Source organism: Homo sapiens, chromosome 19 (assembly GCF_000001405.40).
Source record: "Homo sapiens chromosome 19, GRCh38.p14 Primary Assembly".
NCBI lineage: Eukaryota > Metazoa > Chordata > Mammalia > Primates > Hominidae > Homo > Homo sapiens.
The window spans coordinates 9,503,453-9,522,173 of record NC_000019.10 but is presented as its reverse complement, the minus strand read 5'-3'; the positions used below and the strand labels follow the sequence as shown (position 1 = coordinate 9,522,173).

Genomic DNA, 18,721 nt, shown 5'->3' with positions numbered 1-18,721 from the left:
AAGGAACGTGGCAGGGCTTTTAAAAACTTCATACCTTATAGAAGGTGTAGAAACTCAGTGGAGAGAAACCTGCTTGTAAATCAAGTGGAATCACCTTTGTTCATTCATAAGGCTTCTTTTGTGCATTGTAAATTGCTGTGAAGCCATGGGAAGGGGAAAAGTGGGATACAACCCTTAGATATTTCACACGCCATAATATCTGCCTGACGGAGCCACCAAGCATGTCCCTTCTTTAAAAGGTCAGGTAGGGGGCCTGGCATGGTGGCTCACACCTCTAATCCCAGCACTTTGGGAGGCCAAGGCGGGTGGATCACTGGAGGTCAGGAGCTCAAGTCCAGCCTGGTCAATATGGTGAAACCCCATCTCTACTAAAAATACAAAATTAGCCAGGTGTTGTGGTGCATGCCAGTAATCCCAGCTACTTGGGAGGCCAAGACAGGAATTGAAGACCAGCCTGGCCAACATGGCAAAACCCCATCTCTACTAAAAATAGAAAAATTAGCCAGGCATGATGGTGGGGATGTGTAATCCCAGCTACTCAGGACACTGAGGCAGGAAAGTTGTTTAAACCCAGGAGGTGGAGGTTGCAGTGAGCCAAGATTGCGCCACTGCACTCCAGCCTGGGCGACGAGCGAAGCTCCATCTCAAAAAAAAAAAAAAAAAAAAAGAAGAAGGTGAGGTAGGGGCTGGGCCTAGTGGCTCATGCCTGTAATCTCCGCACTTTGGGAGGCCAAGACAGGAGGATCACCTGAACCCAGGAGTTCACAACCAGCCTGGGGCAACATAGCAAGACTCTGCCTCTTAAAAAAAAAAAAAAGATCAGATAGGGACGTAGTACTAATCTCTTTCTGAAACTGAATGCTTGACATCTCCAAAGAATTCAGTGACCAGCAAGGGAATGTCCCAGTAAGCTTCGCTGGTCACATAGAAATGGAAACGGAATGAGTGCAGCAGCCTGACATTAGCAGCCTTGTGGCTTTACCTATTGGCAGCTACATCTTTTGGAAAAACTTTATCATAATTTTATCATGCATTTCTCCACCTGAAGCTAAGCTGCTGGCTCAAGGGGACCCTTATTTTCTGGCTGGGCCTCTTCAGTCATGATTGGAATAAGCTGAAAGCTGAATGTGTCCACTGGGTTTCTCCAGGCATCCAGCCTTGGAGTGCAATGGTGGGATCTTGGCTCACCGCAACCTCCACCTCCCAGGTTCAAGCGATTCTCCTGCCTCAGCCTCCTGAGTAGGATTACAGGCATGCGCCACCACGCCCGGCTAATTTTTTTGTATTTTTAGTAGAGGCGGGGTTTCTCCATGTTGGTCAGGCTGGTCTCGAACTCCCAACCTCAGGTGATCCACCCACCTCAGCCTCCCAAAGTGCTGGGATTACAGGCATGACCCACCCTGCCCAGCTCTGGAAGCCTTTCTGTATCACTCTTGTTGCAAATAAGATAATTCATTTTGGGGATACATTCAAATAAATGACATGAAGATGAAATTGTCTTTCTGTTTGTCCTATTCTCAGATAAGACGTGTGGCCCCTTAGTTTTCTGTGGTGGTTTTATGTGATTAAATTTGTTTTTGAAAGAGTTTCTGAATATATTACTTGTTCTGTTATGCACATTTTATAAATTAGCACTTTCTTCATGACTGCAGTTGTAAACACTTTCTCATTTGCATTATATGTTCATTTAACAGTGAGCGTGTGTTTAACTGCCAAGATAAGTTTTTTTGTTTTTGTTTTTTCTTTTTTTTTCCATAAAATCCAGATTCTGCAAAACTTGGGGATTTTTTGGTTTTGCTTTGAGATGGAGTCTCCCTCTGTCACTCAGGCTGGAGTCCAGGGGTGCAACCTCTGCTCACTGCAACCTCTGCCACCTCACCTGGCTGTCATGAGGGATTATTAATAGATGCTTTTAGATAGTCCTCTCTAGTGTCATTGATAATTGGTCATACCATGGGTCTACATGGAATTTCTTTTCTTTCCTTTTTTTTTTTTTAAGGTGTGCACTTTCATTCAACTGCTGTCAAGTCAGTGTACAGGTAAGCCCTGGCTGCCTCCATTCCTCCACCCACCCCTAGGGAGACCAACAGCCTTTATACATCTCAAGTTGGGGGACAAAAATGGGGGGACATGATGGCTGATCATTCAAAATTAAAAATACAAAGGCAAAGATTTAAAAAATTTTATATAATTTACACAAAAGCAATGCTATCACCACCCCATGTGAACTTGGGAGAGGACTGGGCATTCTCCTTAGAAATGGGGTGGCTTTTGGGAGGGCAAGGGACTTCCAGTAAGAATGCACCTCCCAGCCGGGCGAGGTGGCTCACGCCTGTAATGCCAGCACGGGAGGCTGAGGCAGGTGGATCATGAGGTCAGGAGTTCGAGACCATCCTTGCCAATATGGTTAAACCCCATCTCTACTAAAAATACAAAAATTAGCTGGGTGTGATGGTGCACCTGTAATCCCAGCTACTTGGGAGGCTGAGGCAGAAGAATCGCTTGAACCTGGGAGGCGGAGGTTGCACTGTGCCAATTTGCACCACTGCACTCCAGTCTGGGCGACTGAGTGAGACTCTGTCTCAAAAAAACAAAAAAGAGAATGCACCTCCCGATATTTGGAATGACTATTTAAAAAAAGAACAATGTATAATCAAAGTCCTCAGCCACATTGTAGAACGTTTGGGATTCTTCGCTCCAACTAACTGCTGTCACCTTCACCATTCCAGGTTTTAAATCTTAAGCCAAAAAAAAAAAAAAAAAAAACCAATCTTATTTTCTGCATAAATTAGGTTTTTGTCAAGAAAGGTTATAATGTAAGTCACCGTCCGCCTAGAAGTATTTGTGGTAGGGTGGACAATACTGAGGCCGGACTCCTCGTATTCCTGCTTGCTGATCCACATCTGCTGGAAGGGGGACAGCGAGACCAAGATGGAGCCACTGATCCATACAGAATATTTGTGCTCAGGAGGAGCAATGATGTTGATCTTCTTCATGCTGGGAGCCATGGTGGTGATCTCCTCCTCCATCCTGTCAGCAATACCAGCGTACATGGTGGTGTCACTGGACAGCACTGGGTTGGCATCCAGGTCTTTGCAGATGTCAATGTCACATTTCATGATGGAGTTGAGGGTAGTTTCATGGATGCCACAGGATTCCATGTCCAGGAAGGAAGGCTGGAAAAGTGCCATGGGACAGCGGGGACCGCTCGTTGCTGATGGTGATGACCTGGCTGTCAGGCAGCTGGAATCTCTTCTTCAGGGAGAAGCTGGAGGCCACGTGCAGGGACAGCAGAGCCTGGATGGCTATATACATGGATGGGGAGTTGAAGGTCTCAGACATGATCTGGGTCATCTTCTCATGGCTGGCCTTGGGGTTCAAGGGGGCCTCGGTCAGCAGCACCGGGTGCTCCTTGGGAGAAACATGCAGCTCATTGTAGAAGGTGTCGTGCCAGGCTGAGCACAGAGGCTCATGCCTGTAATCCCAGCACTTTGGGAGGCCGAGGTGGGTGGATCACTAGGTGAGGAGATCGAGACCATCCTGGCTAAGACAGTGAATCCCCATCTCTACTAAAAATACAAAAAATGAGTCGGGTGTGGTGGCGGGTGCCTGTAGTCCCAGCTACTCAGGAGGCTGAGGCAGGAGAATGGCATAAGCCCGGGAGGTGGAGCATGCAGTGAGCCGAGATTGCGCCACTGCCCTCCAGCCTGAGCAACAGAGCGAGACTCCGTCTCAAAAAAAAAAAAAAAAAAAAAAAGGTGTGGTGCCAGATCTTCTCAATGTCATCCCAGTTGGTGACAATGCTCTGCTCGATGGGGTATTTCAGGGTCAGGTTGCCTCTCTTGCTCTGGGCATCTTCACCCACGTAGGAGTCCTTCTGACCGATGCCCACCATAACGCCCTGGTGCTTCAGATGCCCCACGATGGAGGGGAAGATGGCCCGGGGGGCATTGTCGCCCACGAAGTTGACCTTGCACATGCCGGAGCCATTGTTAACTACAAGCACCTCAATATCATCATCCATGGTGAGCTGACAGCGGGCGTGTATAGGCGGCAGAGTGGCCAGGGCAAGGCTTTGTGCTCGCGGGATAGATGCAGTCTCAGCGGTCGCATTTCTTCTTTAAAAAAAAAATAAAAAAAAATAGAGATGATGGGGGGCCGGCCACAGTGGCTCACTCCTGTAATCCCAGCACTTTGGGAGGCGGAGGCAGGCAGATCACGAGGTCAGGAGATCGAGACCATCTTGCTAACACACTGAAACCCTGTCTTTACTAAAAAAATACAAAAAAATTAGCCAGGCGTTGTGGGGTGCCTGTAGTCCCAGCTACTCAGGAGGCTGAGGCAGGAGAATAGTGTGAAACTGGGAGGCAGAGCTAGCAGTGAGCCAATATCGCTCCACTGCACTCCAGCCTGAGCGACAGAGCGAGCCTCTGTCTCAAAAAAAAAAAAAAATAGAGATGGGGGTCTCACTATGTTGCACAGGCTGGTCGAGAACCACTGGCCTCAAGAGAGCCTCCTGCCTTGGCCTCCTAAAGTGCTGGGATTACAGGCATAAGCAACTGCACCTGGCCTTTATTTTATTTTATTTTATTTTAAGACTGAGGCTTGCTCTGTTGTCCAGGCTGGAGTGCAGTGGCGCGATCTCAGCTCACTGCAGCCTCTGCCTCCTGGGTTCAAGCAATTCTCCTGCCTCAGCCTCCCGAGTAGCTGGGACTACAGATGCCTACCACCACGCCTGGCTAATTTTTGTATTTTTAGCAGAGATGGTGTTTCACCATGTTGGTCAGGATGGTCTCGATCTCCTGATCTCGTGATCTGCCCACCTTGGCCTCCCAAAGTTCTGGAATTACAGGTGTGAGCCACTGCGCCTGGCCCTTTATTTTTATTTATATATATTTTTTGAGACAGAGTTTTAGTCTTGTTGTCGAGGCTGGAGTGTAATGGCATGATCTCAGCTCACTGCAACCTCTGCCTCCCAGGTTCAAGTGATTCTCCTGCCTCAGCTTCCTGAGTAGCTGGGATTACAGGCACGTGCCACCATGCCTGTCTAATTTTTTGTATTTTTAGTAGAGACGGGGTTTCACCATATTGGGGTGACAGGCATGTCTGGAACTCCTGAACTCAGGTGATCCACCTACTTCAGCCTCCCAAAGTGCTGGGATTACAGGCATGAACCATCGCGCTCAGCTTCCTTATTCTTTTATTTATTTATTTTTGAGGTGGAATCTTGCTCTGTCACCAGGCTGGAGTGCAGTGGTGCAATCTTGGCTTACTGCAACCTCCACCTCCTGGGTTCAAGCGATTCTCCTGACTCAGCCTCCTGAGTAGCTGGAACTACAGCTATTACTACAGGCGTGCATCACCACACCCAGCTAATTTTTAGTAGAGATGGGATTTCACCATGTTGGTCAGGATGGTCTTGATCTCTTGACCTCGTGATCCACCTGCCTCGTCCTCCCAAAGTGCTGGGATTATAGGCGTGAGCCACCACTCCTGGCCTCTTTATTCTTATTTATAAGAAAATTCTCTCTGACCTCGCAGGTCAAATAATAGCTAGTTGTCTTCTCAATATTCATTCTCCCCTACTCCCCTCCCTTTTTTTTTTTTTGAGATGGAGTCTCACTCTTGTTGCCTAGGGTGGAGTGCAATAGTGCAATCTCGGCTCACCACAACCTCCACCTCCCAGCTTTGAGCAATTCTACTGCCTCAGCCTCCCAAGTAGCTGGAATTACAGGCATGAGATACCATGCCAGGCTAATTTTTTATTTTTAGTAAAGATGGGGTTTCTCCATGTTGGTCAGGCTGGTCTCAAACTCCCAGCCTCAGGTGATCCAACCACCTCAGCCTCCCAAAGTGCTGGGATTACAGGCATGAGCCACCATGCCTGGCCACTGGATGAGTTTTTACAACATACTGGAAAAATCAGGTCAACTATATGCTAGTGAAGCCATTAAAGCTTCTATCTAGAAGGTGGTTCAGTGTCTGTGGGTAAAAGAGGAGAGAAGTTAGTCATGGGGCAGATAATAAGTGGCCTCAAGAACATGTCTGAATTCCTGTTTTGAGTCTCCTTCCCTAGTGCTACCAGCCCATCCATCATCCTCCTGCGATATCCATCCTGGTACATTCTTGAAGATGCTCATTGCCTGAGCCAGAATATATGAGTGATGTTTTAGAACTCCTTGACCTTCAAGTAAATGGCAGTAGACTTATTGTTGGAGGAGTGGGTATTACTGGACTTTGTTTGGGAAAACCTGTACAGAGACATGTTGCTGGAGAACTTTAGAAACTTAACCTTGATGGAGCAGGCTGGCCTTGTTCCTTCTTCTTTCGTAATGCAGCAAATAGTTGTTCTTAAGCATGTCTTGTGTTCCAAGATTTGCCATAATAATGGCAAGTTAGTGGTGAACACAAAATGGATGGTTCCTGTCCTTGTGAGGCAGTCTAGTGACTTCCCAGGAAAATAAAAATCTGTTCATTGCACGGATTTCATTTTCTCTGTTATGGTTTTCAAGGATTAGTTCTATATGGGGTAGTGAGTGAGGGTATTTGCTTTTGAGTCCTTGTGAAAATTTTCTACTCTTATTATTTTGCTGTTTCTAAAATTGGACTTGTCTATCTTCAGAACGCTTTAAATCCAAAGTGTTAGAATTCTTTTTATGCAAAGTTCTTGTCTCCTACTCATGACTCCCACATCCTGTGTCTTGTCCCATGAGCAGGGTATCAGCTCTGCAAATGTAGTATGATTAAGAAGGTGTAGCACAAAATGGTGAGGTCAGAGAAGAGAGGAATCCTTCAAGTCACCTGTACAGGTGAGCCCCAGGCAGAAAAGTGTCATTGTGTGGGATAACCTTGTCTAGTGAGAAGCCATTGGAGAAAGATAACAGACAAATAAAGGGGAAGAATTAAAATGTGAAGAAATAATGGGTAAAACTTTCCAAATTTGACGAAAGGCATGAATCTCTAAATCCAAGAAGCTCAGCAAACTCCAAGTAAGAGAAACTCAGAGAGGCCCACAGTGAGTCACATTATCATCAAAATGTCAAATAGCAAAGACAAAGAGTGCTGAAAGAAGTAATTCCTTACATAAAGGAATTCTCTATAGTGAAAAATTTGGGGAGCTGAAAGCCTGAGGGTTGTGACCAACTCAGCATTCCACTGGAGGCTATATGATCAAACAGCAAACTGTTTATCATAAATGCAGCATGTGGGCAAACTCACATCTGCGCCTGCCACCAGAAGTTATGCCTAGGGCAATCGCTCCCTGGTGCTGTGCTCCTTGAGGTTATCTACTGGAATATCTGGAGCCTACTGTTCAAAGAAAGCAGTCATGGAGACCTGCACTAAATCAAGCAACTGACTGACAATCACCCCCTCCTCCCTATTTCCTTTACTCAATAAATATGAAGGGCTCTAGAAGCTCAGGGCCCTTGTTCACTAGAAGCAAGGAGCCCCCAACCCCTTCTTTTAAAACAGATATTTTTGTTTTTGTCTTTATTTCTGTTTGTCCCCCTTTGTTCAGTCCACCAGGGTCTGTGGCAAAGTGGCATCATGAACAGGGACTTCAAGGACGTGAATGAAGAAGGTCTGCTGGAGCAGAGGAAGTGAAGCTAACAAGATGAACGAGGACCTAGGGACAAATCTGCCAGCAGGGAGTATAAGGTCAGTGCTCTAAAGAAGTGCTGGGAATGGGAAGTTCTGAATCAGGGTAACATGGGGCAGAATTTGTCTGTTGAAGAAAAACATTATGTGCAATTGCTTAAAGTTCTGTTGAAACAGCCTGGAGCTCAAGTTAATTCACAGACATTAACTAGGCTTCTGCAGGAGGTTATGACACATAACCCATTGTTTCTGCAGGCAGGCACTCTCAATGTAGAAAATTGGGACAAAGTAGAAGAGGGATTGAAATGGGCTCATCAAAATGTCTCAAAGTAGACCCTTCTGTTTTTTCTGCTTGGGTTTTGGTTCACATGGTCCTACTGCCATTGTCTTCTTATTCTGTCAGACAACAGGAGTCAGGTTCTGAGTCTCAAGAATTAAAAACATCATTTGTTTCTCTGACAGTGCCTATTGAAAATAATGAGCAGGAGAAAGGGGAGGAGAATTGGCTGTTTGCTAAGCAGGAAATAGGAGAGGAGAATTGACCTCTGCCACCCCATCCAGTAACAGAAGTAGAAACCCATGTACAAAAAATTTTGTGTGCTGCTGCTACGGCTGGGGAACCTTTAGGACCTTGCAGTTTTCCTATTACTGTAAGGCCTGATCCGAATGATCTGCAACATCTTTTACATGAGCACAGTCCTGTAGAGTTTAAATTACTAGAAGAATTAAAAGCTAGTGTGGTTAATAATGGGTTGCAAAGCCTGTTTACTATAAGGCTGTTAGTATCAGTGTTTGGAGCCATGCGCCTCCCACCCTTTGATATAAAACATTTGGCTCGCACTTGCTTATCTGTCAGTGCATATCTCGCATGGAGTTTAAATTGACAAGAAATGTGCACAGACCAGGCTGGGCAGAATCATGCCTCTGGTCAAGGAAACACTACAGAGAAAATGCTGACAGGCTGTGACCCCTTTTCAGATCTGGTACAACAATTAACACTCCCAGAGACCGCTTACCTCCAGTCTGCCTTAGCCGCTAAGCATGCTTGGAGCACAATTCCTGAAGAGGGAGTTCCAGTGCAGTCTTTTCTACTTGTCATGCAGGGATCATGGGAACCTTATGGACAATTTATCACGTGGCTGCAAGAGGCAGTGCAGCATCAGGTCCCTCAGGCCTCTGCTACAGAAATGCTTACCATAACTCTAGCCTATGAAAATGAAAATGCAGATTGCAAGCATGCAATGGCTGCTCTGAGATCCACAAAGAGCTTGGGGAATTACCTTAAAGCCTTTCAGGGTGTAGGAACTGAATCATCATTCTACAATGTTAGCTCAAGCAATGGCTAGTTTAGTAGTTGACAAATCTAAAGGGAGCCAAGGGTCAAACCCCAAAGTGGGAAAATGTTAAAATTGTGGAAAAACTGGAAGTTTTAAAAAGGAATGCCACCAGATCTCAGAAAAGAAAGGACTTTACAATGTGGTGTCCTTTCCAGCAGAAAAAATGCCAGGACTCTGTCCTCGCTGTGACAAAGGAAATCACTGGGCTAATCAATGCCACTCAAAATTTCATCAGAATGGCACCCCACCTGTTGGGAAACGATAAGGGGGCCTGGACCTGGGCCCCTCAAACAATGAGGGCATTCCCAGTTCAGACCACAACCCCACTTCAGGGGTGGGTCCCAGGACAAATATTGATTCCCTTTCCCCAGGAACACCAGGAAGTGCAGGATTAGATCTCTCCGCCAGAGAAAGAATTACACTAATTGGAGGAGACAAACCTACCAAAGTCCCCCCTGGCATTTGGGGACATATACCAGCAGGATACATGGGACTAATTTTAGGCAAAGCTGCCTTAACTTGCAAGGCATCAATGTAGTCCCCAGAGTAGCTGACTCTGATTATGAAGGAGAAATTAAAGTAGTTTTAATGTCACAAGATCTTTGGGTTTTTGAACCAGGTGCATATATAGTGCAATTATTGCCTATCCCCTGCAAATTACACCCTTCTCCATGAAAGGAGAAATGAGGAAATAAAGGATTTGAGAGCACAACTGCATGAGAAATCTATTTATCACAACCCATAGCCTCTAATAGACCCACCTGTGTAGTGCAAATTAAAGGAAAAAAATTTTATGAGCTTGTAGATACAGGAGCTGATGTGTCAGTAATATCTAGTAAGGATTGGCCTCCATCTTGGCCCCTCAGATGAACCTCCACATCCCTAGTGGGAATAGGAGCTGCTCAAAGCATTCAACAGAGTGCTGAGATTTTACCTTGTCTTGGTCCGGATGGACAATCATGTACTTTCCAGCCTTATGTTGCAAATATAGCTATCAATTTATGGGGTCGAGACTTACTTACAGCTTGGGATATGTGACCTACAAATGAACACGTTGATAACCCAGGATTTAAAATGTTGAAAGACATGGGATATCAGAATGGGAAAGGTTTAGAAAAATTCCTACAAGGAAACCCTAACCTGATATCAATAACTGGAAAGACAGAAAAAGATAGGGACATCAGGATTTATGATTGGAGTCATTAATATTTCTCCTCTCCCCACTGCTTTGTTGCTAGAATGGCTGACTGACAAACCTGTGTGGGTGGATCAATGGCCCCTATCACAGGAGAAACTAGCTCAACTCCATCAGCTAGTAAAAGAGCAATTAGATGCGTGACATATTGAAGAGTCAGTTAGCTTCTGGAATACACCAGTATTTGTAATTCCAAAGAAGTCAGGGAAATGGTGATTGCTACATGATTTGGGAGCTACTAATGCACAGATTAAACCAATGGGTGCATTACAGCAAGGTCTGCCATCCCTGCAGCCATCCCAAGGGACTGGCCTCTTGTAGTAACAGATCTTAAAGATTGTTTCTTTACTATACTATTACATGAGAAAGATAAGCCTTGATTCGCCTTCTCTGTGCCTTCTATTAATAAAAAAAGAACCTGTTTCTCATTATTAATGGAGAGTTTTACCTCAAGACGTGCTTAACAGTACCAAATTATGTCAGCATTTTGTGCAAAGAGCATTAAAAGAGCCTCAAAATATGTTTCCCACTGCATATATCATTCATTACATGGATGATATTCTTTTGGTTGCACCTACAGATCAAATATTGCATCAATTATTGAGAGAAGTAAAGCAAGCTCTTGTTAAATGGAAGCTCAAAATTGCTCCAGAGAAAGTGCAAACAACTTCCCCATACCATTACTTAGGAACTATTGTTATGGAGAGGAGTGTACGGCCTCAGAAAATGGTTCTCTGTAAAGACAGGTTACAGACTTTAAATGATTTTTGACAATTGTTAGGGGACATTAATTGGTTGCTACCAATTAAAACCACATAAAGGTGTTCTTAAACCACAAACAATAGAATGAAAAATCTGTGCATTAAGGACATGCTCCTGCTGCAGATAACTAGTGAGACCCATCCCTTTATTTCAGCCCATCCCTTTGTTTCCCATAAGGAATACTTTTAGTTAATCTATAATCTATAGAAACAATGCTTATCACTGGCTTGCTGTTAATAAATATGTGGGTAAATCTCTGTTCGAGGTTCTCAGCTCTGAAGGCTGTGAGATCCCTGATTTCCTGCTCCACACCTCTATATTTCTGTGTGTGTGCCTTTAATTCCTCTAGCACCGCTGGATTAGTGTCTCCCTGACCGAGCTGGTCTTGGCAAATGGACCTGCTTATACTAGTAATGCTTTTCAAAATTTCCTACAGCTTTGAGCTATTACTCACAAAACAGGAATTGCTTACAACCCTTGAGGACAAGGAATTATAGAGTAGGCACATCAAACATTACAATGCATGTTGAAAAAACAGAAAGAGGGAATAGCAGACCAGCTACTACCTCAAACAAAACTACACTTAGCCCTATTTACTTTAAATTTTTTGACTCCTGGTATTGGTGGTAAGACTCCAGCAGAAAGACATTGGCAAGTGTTAGAGAAAAAGAGGAAAGTTCTTCTGAAAGTGTTATGGAAATCCCTGGAAGGACAATGGAAAGGCCTGGTGGACTTATTGACATGGGGATGAGGGTATGCTTGTGTTTTTACAGGAGATGGACAAACCATTTGGGTGTCCTCAAGGTGCATGCAACCATGGAACAGGAGACTGGAGGGATCCATGGCGGCCAACCATGGGCCTGGTCCCTCCGGTATGGGCCATGAGCCAGCTGAGCCTGAGTGTGAAGATGGAGAAAAGGCTGACCGGAGTCACGAGGACATCAAACCCCATAACCTGAGGGCAACTCAAGAAAACCACGCAGGAAGCTGAGAAAATGCTGGAGCGTCAGGGCCAGGCAAAAACCCCTGAATCCATGTTCTTGGCCATGTTAGCCATAATGTCCTGTGTGGTATGTTTTCTCTCTGCAGAGGCAAAAACATATTGGGCATATGTTTCTAATCCCCTAGTAGTATGGCTTGTACTTTGGAGTGGCACTCCCCCTGAGATCTATCATGATCAGGGAGCATGGGCTCCAGGACCTCTAACTCCTCCTGACATAGAACAGTTAGACTCTCAGAACAATGTCATCAATTATATGGCCCCACTGGAAGGACTCCCCTGGTGTATCACTACAAAGATATTGCTCAACTGTAGTAGCTGTCTTACAATTCAAGCTCAAGCATGGTTGAGTCACCATGGAAAAGTCATGTGCTTATTAGGTCTTAGTTCTATTAATGTAACTGGTGTGCTAACCAACCATTCCCGGCCCAATCACCCCAATTGTGTTGACTATATGGAATGGATTCCCTTCAATAGTTCCTACCCCGCTCCATGGACCCAATGTCTTGGCCCACTGGCTAGAAAACAATCTATGTTAACTGAAGACATTGTGACTTGGGGACCTAAAGGTCAACTAGATGGTAAAGATAAAATCAGACATCATGGCACAAACTTCACTGTCATTGGTAGCAGACTTTCAATGCTTCTTCTTTACACCACACCAGGATCCAATCCCATTCTGCTGCCAGGGTTGCTTGGCATGGAACAGGCTTTATCCCGCCTCTTCTTCAGTGGCAATATCTAGGTAGGAAAGGTCCAATTCAAGAAACAATATGGAAAGCAGCAGTCCCATTTACAAATGGTACTATCTGGGTAGGGGTACTCTCTAATACTAGTACTGCTACTCGACACAGTTTTGATGTTACATTTGTAAAGAGTATCACCACTAAATTTACGGTTTGTGTTTTTAATCCTTATGTCTTTATGGCAGCTAAGAAGGACCAGCTCCAGGTAAACAATACCCAATTGACCTGTAAATCTTGTCAGTTATATCACTGCATTAATCATAGCACATTGCAAACACATCTCTACCTTGATAATTATGGGTCGCATCCCTGGGATATGGATTCCTGTTAATCTGTCAGAGCCTTGGGCCTCCACCCCTGCTTTGCACTTCATGAAACTTCTAACTCAGCTTACTCATTGTACCCGTAAAGTCTTAGGCATGATAATTTTTGCTATTATTTCCTTGGTCACACTAATAACTTCTGTAGTAATGTCCTCTGTAGCTTTGCATAGTTCTGTTCAAACAGCTCAGTACGTGGAGAACTAGACATGTACCACCAAGAAAATATGGCTACTTCAGAGTAAAATTAACACTGAGTTACAAACTGAAGTGGCAATGTTGAAATCCATGGTTCCATGGTTAGGGCAACAAGTACAAAGCTTACAATTGCAACAGCAATTGTGCTGTCATTTTAATCACACTCATATTTGTGTAACCAACTTAGAATATAACCAAAGTGAGTATCCATGGGACCTTGTGAAAGCCCATTTGCAGGGAGCTTTCACATCCAATATCGCCTTTGATATTGGTGAATTATGAAACAAAATTATTGGTTTAAATAAGCAAACTCAAGAGTTTCAGCCTTCTTTAGAAGCCTGGACCAAATTCCAGTGAGGTCTGGAGAGCCTCAATCCTTGGACCTATCTAAAGCGCCACATTAACATCTCATGTATAGTTCTGGGAATAATGCTGTTCTGTCTTTGTTTTCTGTTCATAGTCTATAAAATTGGATGGACTGCCAATCAGAAAATGAGAGCTGCCCAACCTGGCCTTACATTCATTCAATTAATGCAAAAACAGAAAGGGGGAGATATTGGGAGCTGAAAACCTGAGGGTCATGACCAACTCAGCATTCCATTGGAGGCTATATGATCAAACAGCAAACTGTTTATCATGAATGCAGGATGTGGGCAAACTCACATCTGTGCCTGCCACCAGAAGGTAGGCTGAGGGCAATCACTCCCTGGCACTGTGCACCTTGAGGTTATCTACTGGAATATCTGGAGCCTACTGTTCAAGGAAAGCAGACATGCAGGCCTGCACTAAATCATGCAACTGGCTCATGATCACCTGCTCCTCCCTATTTCCTTTACTCAATAAATACAAAGGGCTCTAGAAGCTCAGGGCCCTTGTTCACTAGAAGCAAGGAGCCCCCTGACCCCTTCTTTTAAAACAGATCTTTTTATCTTTGTCTTTATTCCTGTGTTCATCCTCCTTTGCTCAGTCCTCTGGGGTCTGTGGCAGAAGATAAAAAACACTATTACATGAGATTTTCCACCTTTTCATTGTCTATCCATTTATTCACATTTTCATTTATTCTCAGAGAAGGAACTGTTTTAATTCCTTTTAAACGTTTTTATTTAGTGTTCTTTGTAAAGTTTTCTGTACTTTTCTTTCTAGATTATATCCTTTTTTACTTTCTTTTCAAAATACTTTCTAAATAAAATACCTACCAATTCTAAATAAGATAACATGGAGCTATTTTCTTTGTAAAGCCAAACTCCTAACATTAGTTCTTTGGTCACTGGTTGCATCTTCTCTTCCATAGAAGATGTGAGCATGCAGAAGAAAGAATCCACAAATTTGAAGATAGAACCTTTGAAAAATATCAACTCTGAGGGGACTAAAGGAAAAAGAATGAAGACCAAACAGAACTTAAAGGACCTGTAGTACACCATGCATCAGACCAACATACACATTATGGAAGCTGAAGAAAGATAACAGAGAAATAAAGGGGAAGAAGTAAAATGTGAAGAAATATTAAGCAAAACTTTCCAAATTTGATGAAAGACATGAATCTTTAAATCCAAGAAGCTCAACAAACTCCAAGTAAGAGAAACTCAGTCGGGCGTGGTGGCAGGTGCCTGTATTCTCAGCTACTCGGGAGGTTGAGGCACAAGAATCCCTTGAACTTGGGAGGCAGAGGTTGCAGTAAGCTGGGATTGCACCATTGCACTCCAGCCTGGGCAACAAGAGCAAAACTTCATCTCAAAAAAAAAAAACATTAAAAAAAGAGAAACTCAGGCCTACAGTGAATCACATATCATCAAAATGTCAAATGGCAAAGACAAAGAGTGCTGAAAGAAGTGATTCTCAATACTATTAATAACAAATATGTCATCAGAAATCATGGGGGACATAGTCGGTGAGATGACATATTTAAGAGCTGAAAAAGAAACACTATCAACCAAGAATTCTGTGCTCACCAGAAATGTTCAAAAATGAGGGAGAATTTAAGACATTCCTAGAAAAACTAATGCCAAGGACAGTTACCACTACACTTGCCATACAAGAAATGCTGCTGGACGTGGTAGCTCATGCCTTTAATCCCAGCACTTTGGGAGGCTGAGGCAGGTGGATCACGAGGTCAGGAGTTTGAGACCAGCCTGGCCAACATAGTGAAACCCCGTCTCTACTAAAAATACAAAAACTAGCCAGGTACAGTGGTGCATGCCTGTACTGCCAGCTACTTGGGAGGCTGAGGCAGGAAAATTGCTTGAACCCGGGAGGCAGATGTTTTGGTGAGCCAAGATCGTGCCACTGCACTCCAGCCTGGGCAACAGAGTGAGACTCTGTCTCAAATAAATAAATAAATAAACAAATAAACATAAAAGAGATGCTAAAAGGAGTTCTTCAGGATGGAATAAAAGGATGCTAGACAGTAACTCAAGCTGTGTGGAGAAATAAAGATCTCTAGTAAAGGTAAGTATATTGGAAAATATAAAACCACATTTATGGTATTTTTGTATCTAATTCCAGTTTTTACTTTTTACTGAATTTTTTAAAAATCAATAAAAATTATAAGTGTATGTTTTAGGCATACAATATATAAAGATATATTTTGCAAAAAAAAAAAAAACAACAGAAGCGTGCAGTCGTATAGCAGAATTTTTGTATGCTATTGAAGTTAAGTAGGTACAAATTCAAATAATATAACTTTGGAATGGTAAATGTAATCCTTATGAGGGCTGTTAAAGTTTTGGCTGGGTGCAGTGGCTCACTCCTGTAATCCCAACACTTTGGGAGGCTGAGGCAGGCAGATCACCTGAAGTCAGGAGTTCGAGACCAGCGTGGCCAACATGGTGAAACCCTGTCTCTACTAAAAATACAAAAATCACCCAGGCGTGGTGGTGCGTACCTGTAATCCCAGTTACTTGGGAGGCTTAGGCAGGAGAATCACCTGAACCCAGGAGGTGGTGGTTGCAGTGAGCTGAGATCACACCACTGCACTCCAGCCTGGGCAACAGAGCAAGAAGACTCCATCTCAAAAAGAAAGAAAGAAAGAAAGAAAGAAAGTAAATATGAATGAAAGCCTGGTGTGGTGGCTAACACCTGTAATCTCAGCACATTGGGAGGGTGAGGTGGGCAGATCACATGAGGTCAGGAGTTAAAGATCAGCCTGGCCAACATGGTGAAACCCTGTCTCTACTAAAAATACAAAAATTAGCCAGGTATAGTGGCACAAGCCTGTAGTCCCAGCTACACAGGAGGCTGAGACATGAGAATCACTTGAACCTGGGAGGCAAGATTGTGCCACTGCACTCTAGCCTGGACGACACAGCAAGACTGTCTGAAAAACAAAACAAAACAAAACAAAATCAATGAAAATTAGAAGAGAGTTAAATGATTCACTCTAAAAATCAAGTAAACACAAAAAAATCAGCAGTGGAGGAAATAAGGAGCTAAAAGTATAAGACATTCAGAACACATATAGCAAAATGGCAGGAAGAAAATCCTTCTTTATTTTTACTTTAAATGTAAATGAATCAAACACTCCAAGAAAAAGTCATGCTGTTGAAGAATGGATGAAATAATAAAGACCATGATCAAATCGTATTCTGTCTACAAGAAATTCACTTTATATAAAAAGCAACAGATAGGCTGTTAGTGAAAGGATGGGAAGAAGATATTCCATGCAAATAGCAACCAAAAGATAATTGGATTGACTATAATGATATCAGACAAACGAACTTTAAGTAAAAGACTTTATAATATACAAAGGATGGCAATATATTGATAAAAGCTTCAATTCATCAAGAGATGTAATAAGCCATGCATGATGGTATATGCCTTTAATTCTAGCAACTTGGGATGCTGAGGCAGGAGGATTGCTTGAGCCTAGGAGTTTAAGTTCAGTGTAAGCAACATAATGAGACTCTGTCTTTTATTTATTTATTTATTTATTTTTTTGAGACAAAGGCTCACTATGTCGCCTGGCTGGAGTGCAGTGATGCAATCTTGGCTCACAGCAACCTCCACCTCCCAGGTTCAAGCGATTCCCCTGCTTCAGCCTCCTGAGTAGCTGGGACTACAGGTGTGTGCCACCACACCCAGCTGATTTTTGTACTTTTAGTAGAGATGGGCTTTCACTATGTTGGCCAGGATGGTCTCAATCTCTTGACCTTGTGATCCACCCTCCTTGGCCTCCCAGAGTGCTGGGATTACAGGAATGAGCCACTGTGCCCAGCCGAGACTCTGTCTCTTAAAAAAATTAAAAATTAGAAAAAGAAGATGTAGCAATCATAAACATGCATGCACCAAAAACAGACCCCAAAGTTATATGACAAAACTTAAGGGAGAAATAGATTGTTCTATAGCAATAATTGGAGAGTTATATATGACACTTTTAATAAAAGGACATCTACATAGAAGATCAGTAAGGACATAGCTTGAAAAATACGGTAAGCCAACTAAGCCTCAGAGACATGTAGAACAGTCCATCTGATATCATGAGAACACACATTCTTAAGTTCACATGGAACATCTTCAGGATATGTCAAATGTATATGCCACAGAATGAGTCTCAGGAAATTTATTTTTTTTAATTTTTATTTTTTTTGAGACAGAGTCTTGTTCTGTTGCCCAGGCTGGAGGGCAGGGGTGCAATTTCGGCTTACTGCAACCTCCATCTCCCAGGTTTAAGTGACTCTCCTGCCTCAGCCTCCCAAGTAGCTGGGATTACAGGCATATGCCACCACACCTGGCTAACTTTTGTATTTTTAGTAGAAGCAGAGTTTCACCATGTTGGCAAGGCTGGTCTCCAACTCCTGACCTCAAATGATCCATCCACTCTTGGCCTCCCAAAATGCTGGGATTACAGGTGTGAGCCACCGCACCCAGCAGAGTCTCAGTAAATTTAAAAGCACTGAATATATATAAAGTACCTGTCAGAACACAACAGAATTAAGCTAGAAATCTATAATGGCAGAAAAACATTAAAATACATAAATATGTGTGAATTAACACACACTTAAAAAACAGGAGATCAAGAACAAATTACAAGGCACCTGTTTTTACCACAAAATATAATAAGTACTTGAGGTGGTGGATATGTTAATTAGCTTCGTTTAATTATTCTGTATTATATTCATAAATTATAATATCACTTTATACTCCATTAATATGTACAATGAAAATTTGTCAATTAAAGCAATTAGGTTGGGCACAATGACTCATGCCTGTAATTCTAGCACGTTGGGAGGCTGATGCAGGAGGATCACTTGAGGCTGCGAGTTCATGACCAGTCAGGCAACATAGTGAACCCCTGTCTCTACAAAAAATTTTCTAAAAAATTAACTGGGTATGGTGGCATGTGCCTGTAGTCCCAGCTACTCTGGAGATTGAGGTGAGAGGATTGCTTGAGCCCAGTTGGTTGAGGCTGCAGTAAGCTGTGATTTTGCCACTCTACTCCAGCCTGCCCAAGAGAGCAAGATCCTTTCTCAAAACATATCAAAAAACAAAGTAATTTTAAAATGAGAGGCCCAGATAGCTGCCTTTCCTTTTGCACTATGTGAAGACACAGTGAGAAGACAATCGTATGA

The 18,721-nt window shown here is 43.3% G+C and overlaps 1 protein-coding gene, 1 long non-coding RNA gene and 1 pseudogene across 4 annotated transcripts in view; 2 read left to right on the top strand and 1 right to left on the bottom strand.

Annotated features, from left to right (window-relative positions):
* Window positions 1-1,333: 1,333 nt before the first annotated feature.
* On the top strand, window positions 1,334-14,366 carry LOC105372268 (uncharacterized). 3 transcript variants are annotated; one of them, XR_001753862.2, is made up of 3 exons: window positions 1,334-2,039; window positions 7,520-7,659; window positions 11,667-14,366. It is a non-coding gene; the product is annotated as an uncharacterized LOC105372268 (long non-coding RNA). The 3 variants fall into 3 exon arrangements; XR_936308.3 differs by lacking the exon at window positions 1,334-2,039 and having other exon boundaries at window positions 7,458-7,659; window positions 11,667-11,963; window positions 13,618-14,366; XR_936307.3 differs by lacking the exon at window positions 1,334-2,039 and having other exon boundaries at window positions 7,458-7,659.
* LOC100418883 (actin beta pseudogene) lies at window positions 2,670-3,527 on the bottom strand (annotated as a pseudogene).
* Window positions 15,482-18,721, top strand: part of ZNF560 (zinc finger protein 560) — a 60,817-nt gene continuing 57,577 nt past the window's right edge. The window contains exon 1 of the mRNA XM_011527697.3: window positions 15,482-15,602. The gene's annotated coding sequence lies outside the window, so the exon portion shown is untranslated. The remainder of the gene's footprint in view (window positions 15,603-18,721) is intronic.